The sequence below is a fragment of the Homo sapiens genome, chromosome 1, assembly GCF_000001405.40.
Source record: "Homo sapiens chromosome 1, GRCh38.p14 Primary Assembly".
NCBI lineage: Eukaryota > Metazoa > Chordata > Mammalia > Primates > Hominidae > Homo > Homo sapiens.
Genome location: NC_000001.11, coordinates 6,373,309 through 6,388,746, shown reverse-complemented (window position 1 = coordinate 6,388,746; position 15,438 = coordinate 6,373,309). Strand labels below are relative to the sequence as shown.

The 15,438-nt window shown below is 49.4% G+C and overlaps 1 protein-coding gene across 2 annotated transcripts in view, besides 2 other annotated features; it reads left to right on the top strand.

Moving 5' to 3' along the window:
• Positions 1-15,438, top strand: part of ACOT7 (acyl-CoA thioesterase 7) — a 129,496-nt gene that overhangs the window by 5,021 nt on the left and 109,037 nt on the right. Inside the window, exon 1 of one of the 2 annotated variants that reach the window (NM_181864.3) lies at positions 2,979-3,253. The exons of the other annotated variant lie outside the window; for it this stretch is intronic. Within the exon in view, the coding sequence (NP_863654.1) occupies positions 3,081-3,253 (173 nt within the window). The 5' untranslated portion in view covers positions 2,979-3,080. Of the gene's footprint in view, positions 1-2,978; positions 3,254-15,438 lie in introns of those variants that run through there. 2 annotated transcript variants of the gene reach the window in all.
• Positions 1,997-2,982: an enhancer, noted in NCBI's record as "H3K27ac-H3K4me1 hESC enhancer chr1:6445825-6446810 (GRCh37/hg19 assembly coordinates)". NCBI's record gives its function as "activates a minimal SCP1, AML or CMV promoter by ChIP-STARR-seq in primed H9 embryonic stem cells {active_cell/tissue: H9 hESC(primed)}" and the evidence as "EXISTENCE:reporter gene assay evidence [ECO:0000049][PMID:30033119]".
• Positions 13,829-14,328: an enhancer, noted in NCBI's record as "H3K4me1 hESC enhancer chr1:6434479-6434978 (GRCh37/hg19 assembly coordinates)". NCBI's record gives its function as "activates a minimal SCP1, AML or CMV promoter by ChIP-STARR-seq in naive H9 embryonic stem cells {active_cell/tissue: H9 hESC(naive)}" and the evidence as "EXISTENCE:reporter gene assay evidence [ECO:0000049][PMID:30033119]".

The window sequence follows — 15,438 nt, the reverse complement described above, 5'->3', positions numbered from 1 at the left end:
TTTTTTTTTAAGAGAGTCTCACTCTGTCACCCAGGCTGGAGTGCAGTGACAGGATCTTGGCTCACTGCAGCCTCTGCCTCCCCAGTTCAAGCAATTCTCCTCTCCTCAGCTTCCCGAGTAGCTGGGACTACAGGCACCCACCACCACACTCGGCTAATTTTTGTATTTTTAGTAGAGACGGGGTTTCACTGTGTTTGCCAGGCTGGTCTCGAACTCCTGACCTTAAGTGATCTGCCCGCCTCGGCCTCCCAAAGTGCTGGAATTACAGGTGTGAGCCACTGCACCAGGCCGGGCTCTGTCTTTGGTTTTATAATGGAATTAATGAAAAGAAAGAACCTGGCCAGGCGCTGTGGCTCACGCCTGTAATCCCAGCACTTTGGGAGGCCCAGGTGGGCGGATCACGAGGTCAGGAGATGGAGACCATTCTGGCTAACACAGTGAAACCCCATCTCTACTAAAAATACAAAAAATTAGGCGGGCGTGGCGGTGTGCGCCTGTAGTCCCAGCTGCTGGGGAGGCTGCAGGCAGGAGAGTGGCATGAACCCGGGAGGCGGAGCTTGCAGTGAGCTGAGATCCCGCCACTGCACTCCAGCCTGGGCGACAGAGTGAGACTTGGTCTCAAAAAAAAAGAAAAAAAAGTTAGCTGGGCGTAGTGGCGGGTGCCTGTAATCCCAGTTACTTGGGAAGCTGAGGCAGGAGAATCGCTTGAACCTGGGAGGCGGAGGTTGCAGTGAGCCGAGATTGTGCCATTGCACTCCAGCCTGAGCAACAAGAGCAAAACTCCGTCTCAAAAAAAAAGAAAAAAAAAAAAACAAAGAACCTGATTTACAGAAGCCACACTCAGAGCTTGTATTCTGGAGCATTCCGCAAAATGATTTACAGTGCTGGCTCTCTTGCTGCTGGGATGTGTGGACCCTGGGTGAAGATGCAGTCTTTGTAACCCAGAGAGCCTGTGCGTGGGGAGGCCTTTGTCTACCCACTGTCCAACCTCACGCTGTAAGTGGGCCACTTAGCCTGGCATTGCCCTGGAATTGGCACCTGCAGCTAGCTGGCTCCCCAGTTCTGGTCAGACCAGAAGTGGCTTTCTCCTGTGTGACCCACCTGGCCTGTGTAGCCTGCACCAGGGGGTGACCCCATAGGCTGTCTTGCCATCCCACCCCTTGGCCTCTCACTCTCAGAGCCCTCCTGGGGAGGGGGATCAAGGATGTGCCTCCCCATCCTTGGACCCCTGCATGGGAATAACTGGGGAAGTCTGTTACAAATATGGGTTTTCTGCATGTGAACAGTACTTCAGCAGAGAGTCAACAAGATGAAGATTGAGGAGATAATGGGGAAACTTGAATAGTCCCTTGATAATGATTTTAAGGAATCACTGCTTTTTTTTTTAAGGTAGGATAATTGTTTTGTAGTTTGCTTTTTTAAACCAGCTTTATTGAGATAGATTTAGAATGCATACACAAGAATATTTGAAACGTACAGTTTGCTGAGTTTTGATGAGTGTGCACACTGAGTAGTGGCGGGCCCAGTTGTGATGTCGAATATTTCCAAACTCCCAAAATTCCCCTACTGTTGGCCCCTGGCAAAAAGATCTGCTTTCACTCACTCGCTGTGCCTCTTCTAGAATTTCGTGTCGATGGAACCGGATCGAGCTCAGTGCTGGGCCTCGCTCCTGTGTCCCCGTAGCCCTGTATTACCCTGTTCCCTGCACACTGCAGTTTCTCTTCACCAGGCCACAGAGACTTGGGATCTTGTGAATGAAGTTCACAAATGCAGATTTCAATTCATTTAGGACAGAAACGTGAAGTCACTTGCTATTTAATGATATTAGGAATTTGGATGATATTTTAGATGAGATCTTTGTTTTGTGGTTTTTATTTTTATTTGAGACAGGGTCTCGCTTAGTTGGCCAGGCAACTAAGTGGTGCAGTGGTGCAATCATGGTTCTCTGCAGCCCCAACCTTCTGGGCTCAAGGGATTCTCCCACCTCAGCCTCTCGAGTAGCTGGGACTACGAGTGCACGCCTCTGTGCCTGGCTAATGTTAAAAAGATTTTTTGTAGAGACATGATCTCACTTTGTTGCCGAGGCAGGTCTTGAACTCCTGGGCTCAAGTGATCTTCCCACCTCGGCCTCCCAAAGTGCTGGAATTGTGGGCATGAGTCACCATACCCCTCCTTTAGGTTTTTCACAAGGAGCTTTTATCTTTGAGAGGAAATGCAGACATATTTACGATGTCGTACTGGGAAATCCGGGATTTGCTGCAGAATAACCTGGCATGGGGAGCAGGTGGGAGCAGAGACCAGAGGTGCCCTGAGCTGACTGTTTTGGGGCTGCTTGATGGGGACATAGGGGTTCACTCCCTCCTCCCTCTACTCTTGTAAGCATTTGATGTTTACCACAATGAAGAATAAAAAGAAAACCAGGCTCCTGAGCCTCCACCCCAGAGCTACTGCCTCTAACTCCAGGGGCGGGGAAGGTCAGGGAGGGGTAGGCCCAGGAATCTGCATTTTCCTCGGCCCTCCTGGAGCTTGAGGGCCACTGTCAGAGGAGGGCCAGGCACCTGCCGTGTTGTGCGGTGTGTTGGCCTTCCTCGGCTTCCCCGCAGCCTTCCAGCTCTCCCGGTGCCTGTGAGCCAAGACCTCTCTGCCCAGGTGGAACTCCGCCCAGGTGGAACTCATTCTTCTACTTGCCTGAGGGCCAGCCTGAGTGGTGCGAGGTTTAAGGTCCTGGAGGTGGGAACCCTTATGAGTGTTGCTTGTGGCCCCACCCAGTTCATCCTCTCCCGCAGAGGGGTGGTGGCCCTGTCCTGTTTCCCTGTCTGTGAGTTCAGGCCGAGTCATGGATTCCTTGCATCACTGGTCTTTTGTAGAGAACATCCTGTGATCCAGTTCCGGAAGCCGAGGAGGCGGCTTGCCGGGGGCTGGTGGGGGAGGGGCGGTCCTAGGAGGAGCAGGAGCCTGGTGCTTTCTATCAGGGAGGGATCACACCGGCTCACTGCTGAGCCGGCCAGGCAGACACAGGCTTGGGCTCTGCTGGGCATCATACTTGTCACTGGGTAAACAGTTTGCCCACTTACCGCAGGATGAAGCTGCTTGCCAGGGCTCTCCGGCTCTGTGAGTTTGGGAGGCAGGCATCTTCCAGGAGGCTGGTGGCTGGCCAGGGATGTGTGGGGCCCCGGCGAGGGTGCTGCGCTCCCGTCCAGGTGGTTGGGCCCAGGGCTGATCTCCCACCCTGTGGAGCCTGCATTACTGGAAGGTAGGATGACTGGGAATATTTTGTGCCCATGGTGTCTCACTTGCGACGCCGACTGGGCAGCCAGGGCCTTGGGCCGCATAACTTGGAGGAGTTTTGGGGAGGGTAGTAGGGTCGGGTGTTGGATGAGCTGTGTGTTTTGCTGGATTGAAAGTGCCCACTTAAGTGGCCACCCTCAGTGGAGACCTGGCATGTTCTTCCCCTAGGGACGAGCGGAACACCCGGGCTTTGTTGGAGGAGGTGACCTGGCAACCCTGGGCTGTGGGAATCTGGGCCTCTGCAGATCAAGGCTCCTGCAAGCCAGCAGCTGTGCTGGCTCACAGCTGGCAGCTGGCATCCGTGCCCTGCTTTGTCCCTAGGCTGGATGTTGAGCTGTGATTTTAGACCAGAAGGTTGGTGCAGGGCCAGAGGGAGCTGTTCCTGCACGATTGGCTGATCCTAACAGTGCAGTGTTGAGCTGCTTACAGATGGCTTTTGCATACTTTATTTCTCCTAAACTTTACAGAAACTCTGTTGAGTGGGCATACATACCTCCCCCTTTGTGCCAGCTTTATTGGGTTATAGTTCACATGCCATACAATTCATTCACTAATGTGTACAAGCTAGTAGATTTCAGTTTTATGTTCACAGAGCTGTGGGATCATGACCTCCATCAATTTTGAAAGGGGTGGTAGGAGGATTTTTTGTTCTCCTGACATGGAGCTCCCCAAGCCCTTGGGACCTTTGTAGTCCTAAGAGTGTCTAGTATGCTAATGAGAGAACTGGTGGCTGGGGGCCCTAGATATAGCTTCAGGATGGGAGCTGGTCTCCAGAAAGGCCAAGGGAGGATTAGCGGGTTAGCGCTTTCAACCTTACCTTCCTATACCGCAGAAGGTAGTGCCAGACTTTACTTGAATTGTAGGACACCCACCTAGTGTCGGAGAGTTGGAGAAGTGGGGTTGAAAGAGACACCCATGTTTGTTATTAAAAGCATGAGTAAAAACAGCTCGCCTAGGAATATAATTTTTGGGTCATATGGTAATTTTGTGGTTATTCTCTTGAGGAATTACCAGACTGTTTCCAAAGTGGCTGCACCATTTCACATTCCCACCAGCAGTGTAAAAAGGATTCAATTTCCCCATATCCTTGTCAGCACTTGTTATTATCCATCTTTTGAATTCTAGCCATGCTAGTAGATGTGCAGTGGTATCTCACTGTGGCTTTGATCTACATTTCCCTAATGAGAGAAGATGATACTGAGCATCTTCTCATGTGCTTATTGACCACTGTGTATTTTTAGAGAGCTGTCTAGTCAGGTCTTTCCTGTATTTTCCAATTGGTGTAATTGTCTTTTTGTTGTTGAGTGATGAGAGCTCTTTATATATTCTAGATGCAAGTCCCTTCTCAGATAAAATTTTTTAATTAAGAAAATTTTCCAATTCAAAAAAGTTGTCAGCCTGGGCAACATAGCAAGATCTGATCTCTATTAAAGATTAAAAAATTAGCCAGATGTTGGCTGGGCGTGGTGGCTCACACCTGTAATCCCAGCACTTTGGGAGGCCGAGGCGGGCGGATCACGAGGTCAGGGGATCGAGACCATTCTAGCTAACACAGGGAAACCCCATCTTTACCAAAAATACAAAAAATTAGCCGAGTGTGGTGGCGGGCGCCTGTAGTCCCAGCTACTTGGGATGCTGAGGCAGGAGAATGGCTTGAACCCGGGAGGCGGAGCTTACAGTGAGCCAAGATCGTGCCACTGCACTCCAGCCTGGGCCACGGAGCAAGACTCCGTCTCAAAAGAAAAAAAAATTAGCCAGATGCAGGGTAGGTGGGGTGTGCCTGTAGTCTCAACCACTCAGGAGATTGAGGCAGGAAGATTGCTTGAACCCAGGAAGTTGAGGCTGTAGTGAGCTTATTGCACCACTGCAATCCAGCCTGGACAACAGATCAAGACTCTTGTCTCTCAAAAAAAAAAAAACTGTGTTAAAATACACATAATATATAATTTACCGTTAAAAAAATCTGCCATCAGGCCGGGCGCGGTGACTCACGCCTGTAATCCCAGAACTTTGGGAGGCTGAGGCGGATGGATCACGAGGTCAGGAGATCGAGACCATCCTGGCTAACAAGGTGAAACCCCGTCTCTACTAAAAATACAAAAAATTAGCCAGGCGTCATGGTGGGCGCCTGTAGTCTCAGCTACTTGGGAGGCTGAGGCAGGAGAATGGCATGAACCCGGGAGGCGGAGCTTGCAGTGAGCTGAGATTGCGCCACTACACTCCAGCCTGGGCAACAGAGCAAGACTCCGTCTCAAAAAAAAAAAAAAAATCTGCCATCTTAGCCGGGCATGGTGGCTCACACCTGTATTCCCACCACTTTGGGAGGCCAAGCTGGGTGGATCACCTGAGGTCAGGAGTTGGAGACCAGCCTGGCCAACATGGTGAAACCCCGTCTCTACTACAAATACGAAAAATAGCTGGGCGTGGTAGCCCACGCCTGTAGTCCCAGCTACTTGGGAAACTGAGGCAGGAGAATCACTTGAACCTGGGAGGCGGAGGTTGCAGTGATCCAAGATCGTGACATTGCACTCCAACCTGGGTGACAAGAGCGAAACTCTGTCCAAAAACAAAAAAAAAACAAAAAAACTGCCATCTTAATGATATGTGTATATGTATATGGTTAAGATGGCAGGTTTTGTTTTGTTTTTTAAATTGAGACAGGGTGTTACTCTGTCTTCTGGGGCGCATGTGGTGGTGCAGTCTCGGTCACTGAGCCTCTACCTCAAGTGATCCTCCTGCCTCAGCCACCCGAGTAGCTGGGACCACAGGCATGTGCTACCATACCTGGGTAATTTTTGTAGTTTTTGTAGAGACAGGATTTCGCCATGTTGGCCAGGCTGGTCCCAAACTCCTGAGCTCAAGGGATCTGCCCATCTCCGTCTGCCTCCTAAAGTGCTGGGATTACAGGTGTGAGTCACAGCGCCTGGCTACCATATACGTATTTGTAGCCATATTTTCTTGCTCTGTCACCCACTACGTCTCACTATGTTTCCCAGGCTCATTTTAATCATTTTTAAATGTCCAGCTCAGTTTTTTTGTTTTGTTTTTTGTTTTTGAGACAGAGTCTCGCTCTGTCGCCCAGGCTGGAGTGCGGTGGCACAATCTCGGCTCACTGCAAGCTCCGCCTCCCGGATTCAAGCGATTCTTCTGCCTCAGCCCCCCGCGTAGCTGGGACTACAGGTGCCCGCCACCACGCCCAGCTAATTTTTGTATTTTTAGTAGAGACGGGGTTTCCCCATGTTGGCTAGAATGGTCTTGACCTCGTGATCCGCCTGCCTCGGCCTCCCAAAGTGTTGGGATTACACGCGTGAGCCACCGCGCCCGGCCAAGTCTTGCACTTTCGCCCAGGCTGGAGTGCAGTGGCGCAATCTTGGCTCACTGCAAGCTCCGCCTCCCGGGTTCATGCCATTCTCCTGCCTCAGCCTCCTGAGTAGCTGGGACTACAGGCGCCCACCATCACGCCCAGCTAATTTTTTTTTTGTATTTTTAGTAGAGATGGGGTTTCACCGTGTTAGCCAGGATGGTCTCGATCTCCTGACCTCATGATCCACCTGCCTCGGCCTCCCAAAGTGCTGGGATTACAGGCGTGAGCCACCGCGCCCGGCTCATTCCCTTCCTTTTAAAGACTGAATCATGTTCCATTTCATGGATGGACCACATTTTGCTTATTCCATCATCTGTGGATGGACACTTGGGTTAATCCCACATTTTAGCTTGTGAATAATGCTGCTATGAACACAGCAGAGACCCCGTTTTTAGTTCTTTAGGATATATTCCCAGAAGTGGAATTGCTGGATCATATGGCAATTCTATTTTAAATCTTTAAAGAAACGACCATACTGTTTTCCACAGCGGCTATGCCATTTTACATTTCCACCGACAGTGTACATGGGTTCTGGTTTCTGGGCATCCTTGTCAATACTTGTTATTTTCTGTTTTTTTTTGATAGTTGCCATCCTAATGGGTGTGAAGTGGTGTTTCATTGTGGTTTTGCTTTGCATTTCCCTAATGTTTAGTGATGTTGAATGTCTTTTCATGTGTTTATTTGTCAACTGTATTTTTTCTTTGTAGAAATGTCTACTCAAGTTGTTTGCTGATTTTTGAATCAGGTTTTTTTTAAAACTGAAAATTAAATATATTGCTAAACTGTTTGTATATTTATTCATATACTTGAACATAGACATGTATAGGTGTATATATTATGTGCATGTTATATACATATCCTTGTGTATCTATATAAGTATCCATGTATATATTTTTCAAATTTTCATCAGTATTCTGAAACTGAAGACTATAGCTTTTGGTGTTTGAGAAAGTCCGTGTCCATTTTTGCTTCTATTGTTTTTGACACATAATAATTGTACATATTTATGGGTATAGTGTGGTATTTTGATACATGAATGCAATGTGTATGGTTGGTTTTTTTATTGTTGCGTTTTAGGAGTTCTCTATATATTCTGGACACTAATCCCTCATCAGATATATGATTTGCAAATAATTTCTCCCATTCTGTGGGATGTGTTTATACTCTGTTGATATTGTCTGTTGATGCACACATTTTAAAGTTCTTATGACATACAATTTGTCTGTTTTCTTTTGTTCCTTGTGCCTTTGATGTCATAGCCAAGAAATCATCACCAAATCCAATGTTGTAAAGCTTTAGCCTTATGTTTTCTTCTAAGAGTTTTATAGTTTTAGGTTTTACTTTTCGGCTTATGATCCATTTTGAGTTTTTTTTTTTTTTTGTATATGCTATTAGGTAAAGGTGCAACTCATTCTTTTGTGTGTAAATATCCAGTTCCTTAGCACCATTTGTTGAAAAGATTGTCTTTCCCCATTGAGAGGTCGTCTTCTTGTTTTTTTTTTTTTTTTGAGACGGTCTTGCTCTGTTGCCCAGGCTGGAGTGCAGTGGCGTGATCTCAGCTCATTACAACCTTCGCCTCCTGGGTTCAAGCCTCAGCCTCCTGAGTAGCTGGGATTACAGGCACATGCCACCATGCCTGGCTAATTTTTGTATTTTTAGTAGAGACGGGGGGTTTCACCATGTCGGTCAGGCTGGTCTTGAACTCCTGACCTCGTGATCCTCCCACCTCAGCCTCCCAACATGCTGGGATTACAGGGGCGAGCCACCACACCCGGCCGAAAGGTGTTTATACCCTTGTCACATAGATCATTTGACCATATATATCATTTGAGTTTATTTCTGGGCTCTCTGTTCTATTGATTCTTATATCTGTCTTTATGCTAATGCCATACTGTTTTGATTATTGTAGCTTTGTGGTAAGTTTTGAAATCAGAAAGTGTGAATCTTCCAGCTTTGTTCTTTTTCATGATTGTTTGGCTATTTCCGATGTGATTTGCAAATATTTTTTTCCACTCACTGGGTTGTCTTTTTACTTTTTCTTTGCTGTGATGCCCAGGCTAGAGTGCAGTGGCATGATCTCAGTTCACTGCAACCTCCGCCTCCTGGGTTCAAGTGATTCCCCTGCCTCAACTTCCCAAGGAGCTAGGACTACAGGTGTGCACCACCACACCTGGCTAATTTTTGTATTTTTTTTCCAGCAGAGACAGAGTTTCAACACGTTGGCCAGGCTAGTCTTGAACTCCTGACCTCAAGTGATATGCCCACCTCAGTCTCTCAAATTGCTGGGATTATAGGCCACCACACCTGGCCTATTTTCTTTAAAGAGTTTTATAGGATAGATGCTGTGGCTCACATCTGTAATCCCAGCACTTTGGGAGGTCGAAGTGGGAAGACTGCTTGAGCTCAGGAGTTCAAGACCAGCCTGAGCAACATAGGAAGACCCCATCTCTACAAATTAAAAAAGTTAGCCAGGTGTGGTGGTGCATGCCTGTAGTACCAGCTACTTGGGAGGCTGAGGTGAGAGGATTGCTTGAGCCTGGGAAGTCAAGGCTGCAGTGAAGTGAGTTAGAGACCACAGCACTGCACTGGGGCCTGGGTGACGGAGTGAGACCCTGTCTCAAAAAAAAAAAGTTACATAGCTTTAGCTCTTACCATTTAGGTGTTTGACCTATCTTGAGTTAATTGTTATGTGTGATGTGCGGTAGGGGTCCAGCTCCATTTGCACGTGTGGACACACCTCTTTATAGGCTGGGGAGCAGGCATTAGAGGTGGAGCTACTTGCTTGCCGTCACAGCTGGCAAGTGGAGGCCAAAGACAGCCGCTGCATCCTTTCTTTGAACTCTTATACCTGAGGGTCATTTATCTCTGACCTGGAGGACAGAAACAGAAAGCCCTTGAGCAGGCTGAGCGCAGTGGCTCACGCCTGTAATCCCAGCTCTTTGGGAGACCGAGGTGGGCGGATCATGAAGTCAGGAGATCGGGACCATCCTGGCTAACACGGTGAAACCCCTCTCTACTAAAAATACAAAATATTAGCCAGGCGTGATGGCGGGCGCCTGTAGTCCCAGCTACTTGGGAGGCTGAGGCAGGAGAATGGTGTGAACCCGGGAGGCGGAGCTTGCAGTGAGCCGAGATTGCGCCACTGCACTCCAGCCTGGGCAACAGAGCAAGACTCCGTCTCAAAGAAAAAAAAAAGTCCTTGAGCAATAATAAAACTAGGACTCTAGGGACATTACTTCTCAGGGGCAGGCCACGCCGTGCACCTGTCCACATCTGTTTCCCTCCCCTTGCTGAACACCAGCCCCTGCCCTCGCCAGCCTTTCTGTCCTCCTTCCCTCCTCCTCCCCCTAAATGTTCATCTGTGGCTTTTGCCTGTCCCATGGCACATGATAGGCTCTCGCTGTCTGGGCCTCCCTGGGGGTAGGTCCCCACAGGAGACCTTACCAGGGCCATGCCAGACAGCTCAGATGTCTCTGTGCCCTGCCTTGAATCCTTTGGCCTCAGGGCTGGAGGTTCAGCTATGGCAGGTCAGGGGCTGGCAGCTGAGCTGTGTGAGGCTGGGAGCTTCTCTGAGCCTTGGGAGAGTAAAGGAAACCAAGTCCCTGATTCAGGAGGGCCAGAGCATTCCTCTTGCTGGCTGTGTGCCCATGAGCCCGGGACTGGGAGAAGGCCCAACGGTACCTGCCCCCATGGGACTTGTTGGCTGGGACCTGGGAAGGCCCGTGGTCTGTGTGCTTTGCTGTAAAATGTATCACTGGGGGACTGGACCATCTGCCGCAGTCTGGCGCTATCGAGGAGCACCCCGGCCACCAGCAGAGGGCATGCTGATCATAGACACTGCCCCTCCCTCCCTCCCCTCCCGACAATCTCCAGGCCACCAGTTCCAGTCTTACCTTGAGCCACTACCTCTCGGGCACCCAGGGCTGCTCTGGTGGAATTAATTTGAACAGTGGTGGCATTGTAGCGAGTGGATGCTTTGGCCTTGTAACTGGTGCCGTTGTTTGTTTGTTTGTTTGTTTGTTTGTTTTGACGAGTCTTGCTCTGTCGCCCAGGCTGGAGTGCAGTGGTGCGATCTGGGCTCACTGCAAGCTCCACCTCCCAGGTTCACGCCATTCACCTGCCTCAGCCTCCCGAGTAGCTGGGACTACAGGCGCCTGCCACCACACCTGGCTAATTTTTTGTATTTTTAGTAGAGACGGGGTTTCACCATTTTAGCCAGGATTGTCTTGATCTCCTGACCTTGTGATCCGTCCGCCTAGGCTTACCAAAGTGCTGGGATTACAGGCGTGAGCCACCGCACCTGGCCATTGTTTACAGTAAGTGCCAAACTTTGATGTTTGTGTGTTTCTTTGCTGTTTTGTTGCTGTGTTCACTCAGGTGTCGCTTGTATTTAGAACTCAGCTTTTACAATGGAATTGCTTTTGATACTACACTTTGGTGTCTCAGGAAACTACATCCTGCATGATTGATACTCTGTGCTTCCTTTAATGACAGGCAAATCTCACCTTGTCTTGTACCTTATAAAAGCCAGGCTCTTAGAAGTGGTGACACTCATAAACCAGCCTGAAGTTGCTGAATTGACCCATGTTATCTGACACCTATTAAGATTCTACTAAGATTCTTAATTCACCCATATCCAGCTTGAATTTTTACTTGATTTTGCATTTAATTGCTTCCATGTACCTACTAAGTTTTTACATAATGTATTTTTTTATTATTTAAATAGAGATGGAGTCTCGCTATGTTGTCCAGGCTGGTCTCGAACTCTTGGGCTCAAGTGATCTTCCCGCCTCAGCCTCCCAAAGTGCTAGGATTATAAGCGTGAGCTACCACACTTGGCCTTTACATGTATTTTTTTAATGTCTTTAATGGAATATAGGATTGATTTAATTGAAGAGTACATTTAGCTTTGTACAAAACTGCCAAACTGTCTTCCAAAGTGGCTGTGCCATTTTGCATTCTCACCAACAGTGAATGAGGGCTCCTGTGCTCCACATCCTCACCAGCATTTGATGTTGTCAGTACTTTGGGTTTAGGCCATTCTGACAGGCATGTAGTGGTGTCTCAGTGTTGTTTTAATTTGCAGTTTCCAAATGACATAAGGTGTTGAGCATCTTTTCATGTGCGTATTTGCTGTCTGTATATCCTCTTATATCAGGCATCTGTTCGGGTCTTTGGCCCTCTGCCGCCACCCTCCCACCTTATTATTATTTATTTTTATTTTTTATTTTTTAGACAGAGTCTCACTCTGTCGCCATGTTCGCTCTGCCTCCCAGGTTCACGCCATTCTCCTGCCTCAGCCTCCCGAGTAGCTGGGACTACAGGTGCCCACCACCACGCCCAGCTAATTTTTTTTTTTTTTTTTTTGGGATGGAGTTTTACTCTTGTTGCCCAGGCTGGAGTGCAATAGTGCCATCTCGGCTCACTGCAACCTCCGCCTCCCAGGTTCAAGCTATTCTCCTGCCTCAGCCTCCCAAGTAGCTGGGATTATAGGCACATGGCACCACGCCATGCTAATTTTTGTATTTTTTGTAGAGATGGGATTTTGCCATGTTGGCTAGGCTGGTCTCGATCTCCTGACCTCGTGATCCACCCGCCTCAGCCTCCCAAAGTGCTGGGATTACATGCATGAGCCACCGCGCCTGGCCCCTCCCACCTTATTTTTAAAGAGTCTTGCTCTGTCACCGAGGCTGGAAAGCGGTGGTACAATCACGGCTCACTGTAGCTTCAACCTCCTGGGCTCAGGTGATCTTCCTACCTCAGCCTCCCTAGTAGCCTTGACTACAGGTGCACCCTACTGTGCCTGGCTAATTTTTTTGTTGGTTTGTTTTTGTTTTAGACCAAGTTTCTTGCTGTTTTTCCTCAGGCTGGAGTGCACTGGCGCCATCTCAGCTCACTGCAACCTCCTGACTCCCAGGTTCAAGTGATTCTCCTGCCTCAGCCTCCTGAGTACCTGGGATTAAAGGCGCCTGCCACCACGCATGGCTAATTTTTGTACTTTTAATAGAGACAGGGTTTCACCATGTTGGCCAGGCTGGTCTCGAACTTCTGAACTCAAGTGATCCGCCTGCCTTGGCCTCCCAAAATGCTGGGATTACAGGCGTGAGCCACTGCGCCCAGCACCTGGCTAATTTAAAAAAATTTTTTTTTTTTTTTTGAGGTGGAGTCTCGCTCTGTTGCCCATGCTGGAGTGCAGTGGCACAATCTCGGCTCACTGCAAGCTCCACCTCCCGGGTTCATGCCATTCTTCTGTCTCGGCCTCCCGAGCAGCTGGGACTACAGGTGCCCGCCACCACGCCCGGCTAATTTTTTTTGTATTTTTAGTAGAGACGGGGTTTCACCGTGTTAACCAGGATGGTCTTGATCTCCTGACCTCGTGATCCACCCGCCTTGGCCTCCCAAAGTGCTGGGATTACAGGCGTGAGCCACTGCGCCCGGCCTAAAAAGTTTTTTTGTAGAGACAGGGTCTCCCTATGTTGCCCAAGCTGATCTTGAACTCCTGGGTTCAAGCGATCCTTCTGGCTTAGCCTCCCAAAGGGCTGGAATTAATCTCCAAGCAGGGATTGCAGGCATGTGCCACCACACCCAGCTAATTTTTGGGGTTTCTCTACGTTGGCCAGACTGGTCTCTAACTCCTGGCCTCAAGTGATCCGCCCGCGTCTACCTCCCAAAGTGCTGGGATTATAGGCATGAGTCACCGCGCCTGGCCTCTTATTGTTGAGTTTTAAGATTTCTTTGTATATTTTAGATACAAGTTGTTTATCGGATATATGTTTTGTAAACATTTTCCTCAGTCTGTGGCTTGTCTCCATTATCTTTTTTTTTTTTTTTTTGAGAGGAGTCTCGCTCTGTCGCCCAGGCTGGAGTGCAGTGGCGCGATCTTGGCTCACTGCAAGCTCCGCCTCCTGGGTTCCCGCCATTCTCCTGCCTCAGCCTCCTACAGGCGCCCGCCACCACGCCCGGCTAATTTTTTGTATTTTTAGTAGAGACGGGGCTTCACAGTGTTAGCCAGGATGGTCTCTATCTCCTGATCTTGTGATCCGCCCGCCTCGGCCTCCCAAAGTGCTGGGATTACAGGTGTGAGCCACCGCGCCCGGCCTGTCTCCATTATCTTAACAGTGTCTTTCTCAGAGCTGAAATCTTTAAATCAATAAAGTGGGAACTTCAGCCATGTAACTGATCAGGATGAACAGGGGAAGCCATCGTTTTCAGCAGATGCCAAACTTGGTTTTTCTCCTCTGACTCTTGACGTGGTTGTTCCCTTCAACTGGCCGAGACCTAGGGGCTCACTGATGCCGGGGTTTGTCCTAGGTTAGACGGGGAGTCTGTGGAATAGTGTAGGGTGTCCCAGCCACGGAGAACTCTCAGCTTGGCAGTTTACCCTCCATTTACAGGTGAAGACACTGAGGCCCTCCAGGCGCAGTGACCTAGGGGTGTGTGGCAGGTGGGGCAGGGACCCCAGTAGAGTGCAGACCTCACCTCCTTGGCCATTTCCACCTGCCCCTCATCCACCATGTGGCCTGCAGGTGGTGCGTGGCAGGTTGTGGTGCTTGATCTCCAGGATGTTGGGCAAGGCAGAGTCCTTGGCCCCCACGCTGTGGAGCTCAGCTTCTCCCCACAGGCCCCAAGCCTGTGTGTTCAGGGCATCCTCCTTGACATTTGGAGAGTGAGACTCAGGGTGGCCGTACTGACCCACTGGCCCCATACTCTGGAAGTACTTAGGGCCTGCTGGTCTGCCCACTGAGGGACATGCCTTCAGTCCCCATGGGCCTGTGGGAGGGCTTTAACCAGTGCCTGGCTGGGCAGGGCTCTTAGTCTTAGTGACTCCCTAACTGGAGCTCCCAGGGCCATTTGGCCACCTCCCTCCCGCCTCTGTTTGGGCTGAGGGACGTGGGCGCAGCTGCCAGCATGGGGACCAGGCCTCTGTCCTCAGGTGACTTCATCGCACCTGCTGCCACCTTCCCTTGCAGAAATTGGCAGAATTCCAGGAAACTTGCCCAGAGTAAGTGCCTCAAGTAGAAACAAGCCCAATGCATTTGCCATGGATATTTAATTCTCTAAAAGGCAGAGGTGGGAGGTGAAAGAGATACTTATTTAAACAGAGTTATACAGGAATAATTTCTATAACTGCACATATGGAAAGTATTCAGTTTGATCAGTTTTGACCTAGGTACAGACAGACTTCCTTTCATTGCACTTTGCAGGTCCTGCATTTTTTTTTTTTTTTTTAAGATGGAGTTTAGCTTTTGTTGCCCAGGCTGGAGTGCAATGGCACGATCTCGGCTCACTGCAACCTCTCCCTCCTGGATTCAAGCGATTCTCCTGCCTCAGCCTCCTGAAGGGCTGGGATTACAGGCGCCTGCCACTGTGCCCAGCTAATTTTTGTATTTTTAGTAGAGACGGGGTTTCACCATGTTGGTCAGGCTGGTCTCAAACTCCTGGCCTCAGGTGATCCACCCACCTTGGCCTCTCAAAGTGCTGGGATTATAGGCGTGAGCCACTGCTCCCAGCCAGGTCCTGCCTTCTTTACAAATTGAAAGTTTGGGGCAGGCGTGGTGGCTCAGGCCTGTAATCTCAGCACTTTGGGAGGCCGAGGCAGGCGGATCACCTGAGGTCAGGAGTTCGAGACCAGCCTGGCCAACATGGCGAAACCCCATCTCTACTAAAAATATAAAAAATTAGCTGGGTGTGGTGGCATGTGCCGTAGTCACAGCTACATGGGAAGCTGAGGCAGGAGAATCACTTGAACCTGGGAGGCAGAGGTTGCAGTGAGCTGGGATCATGCC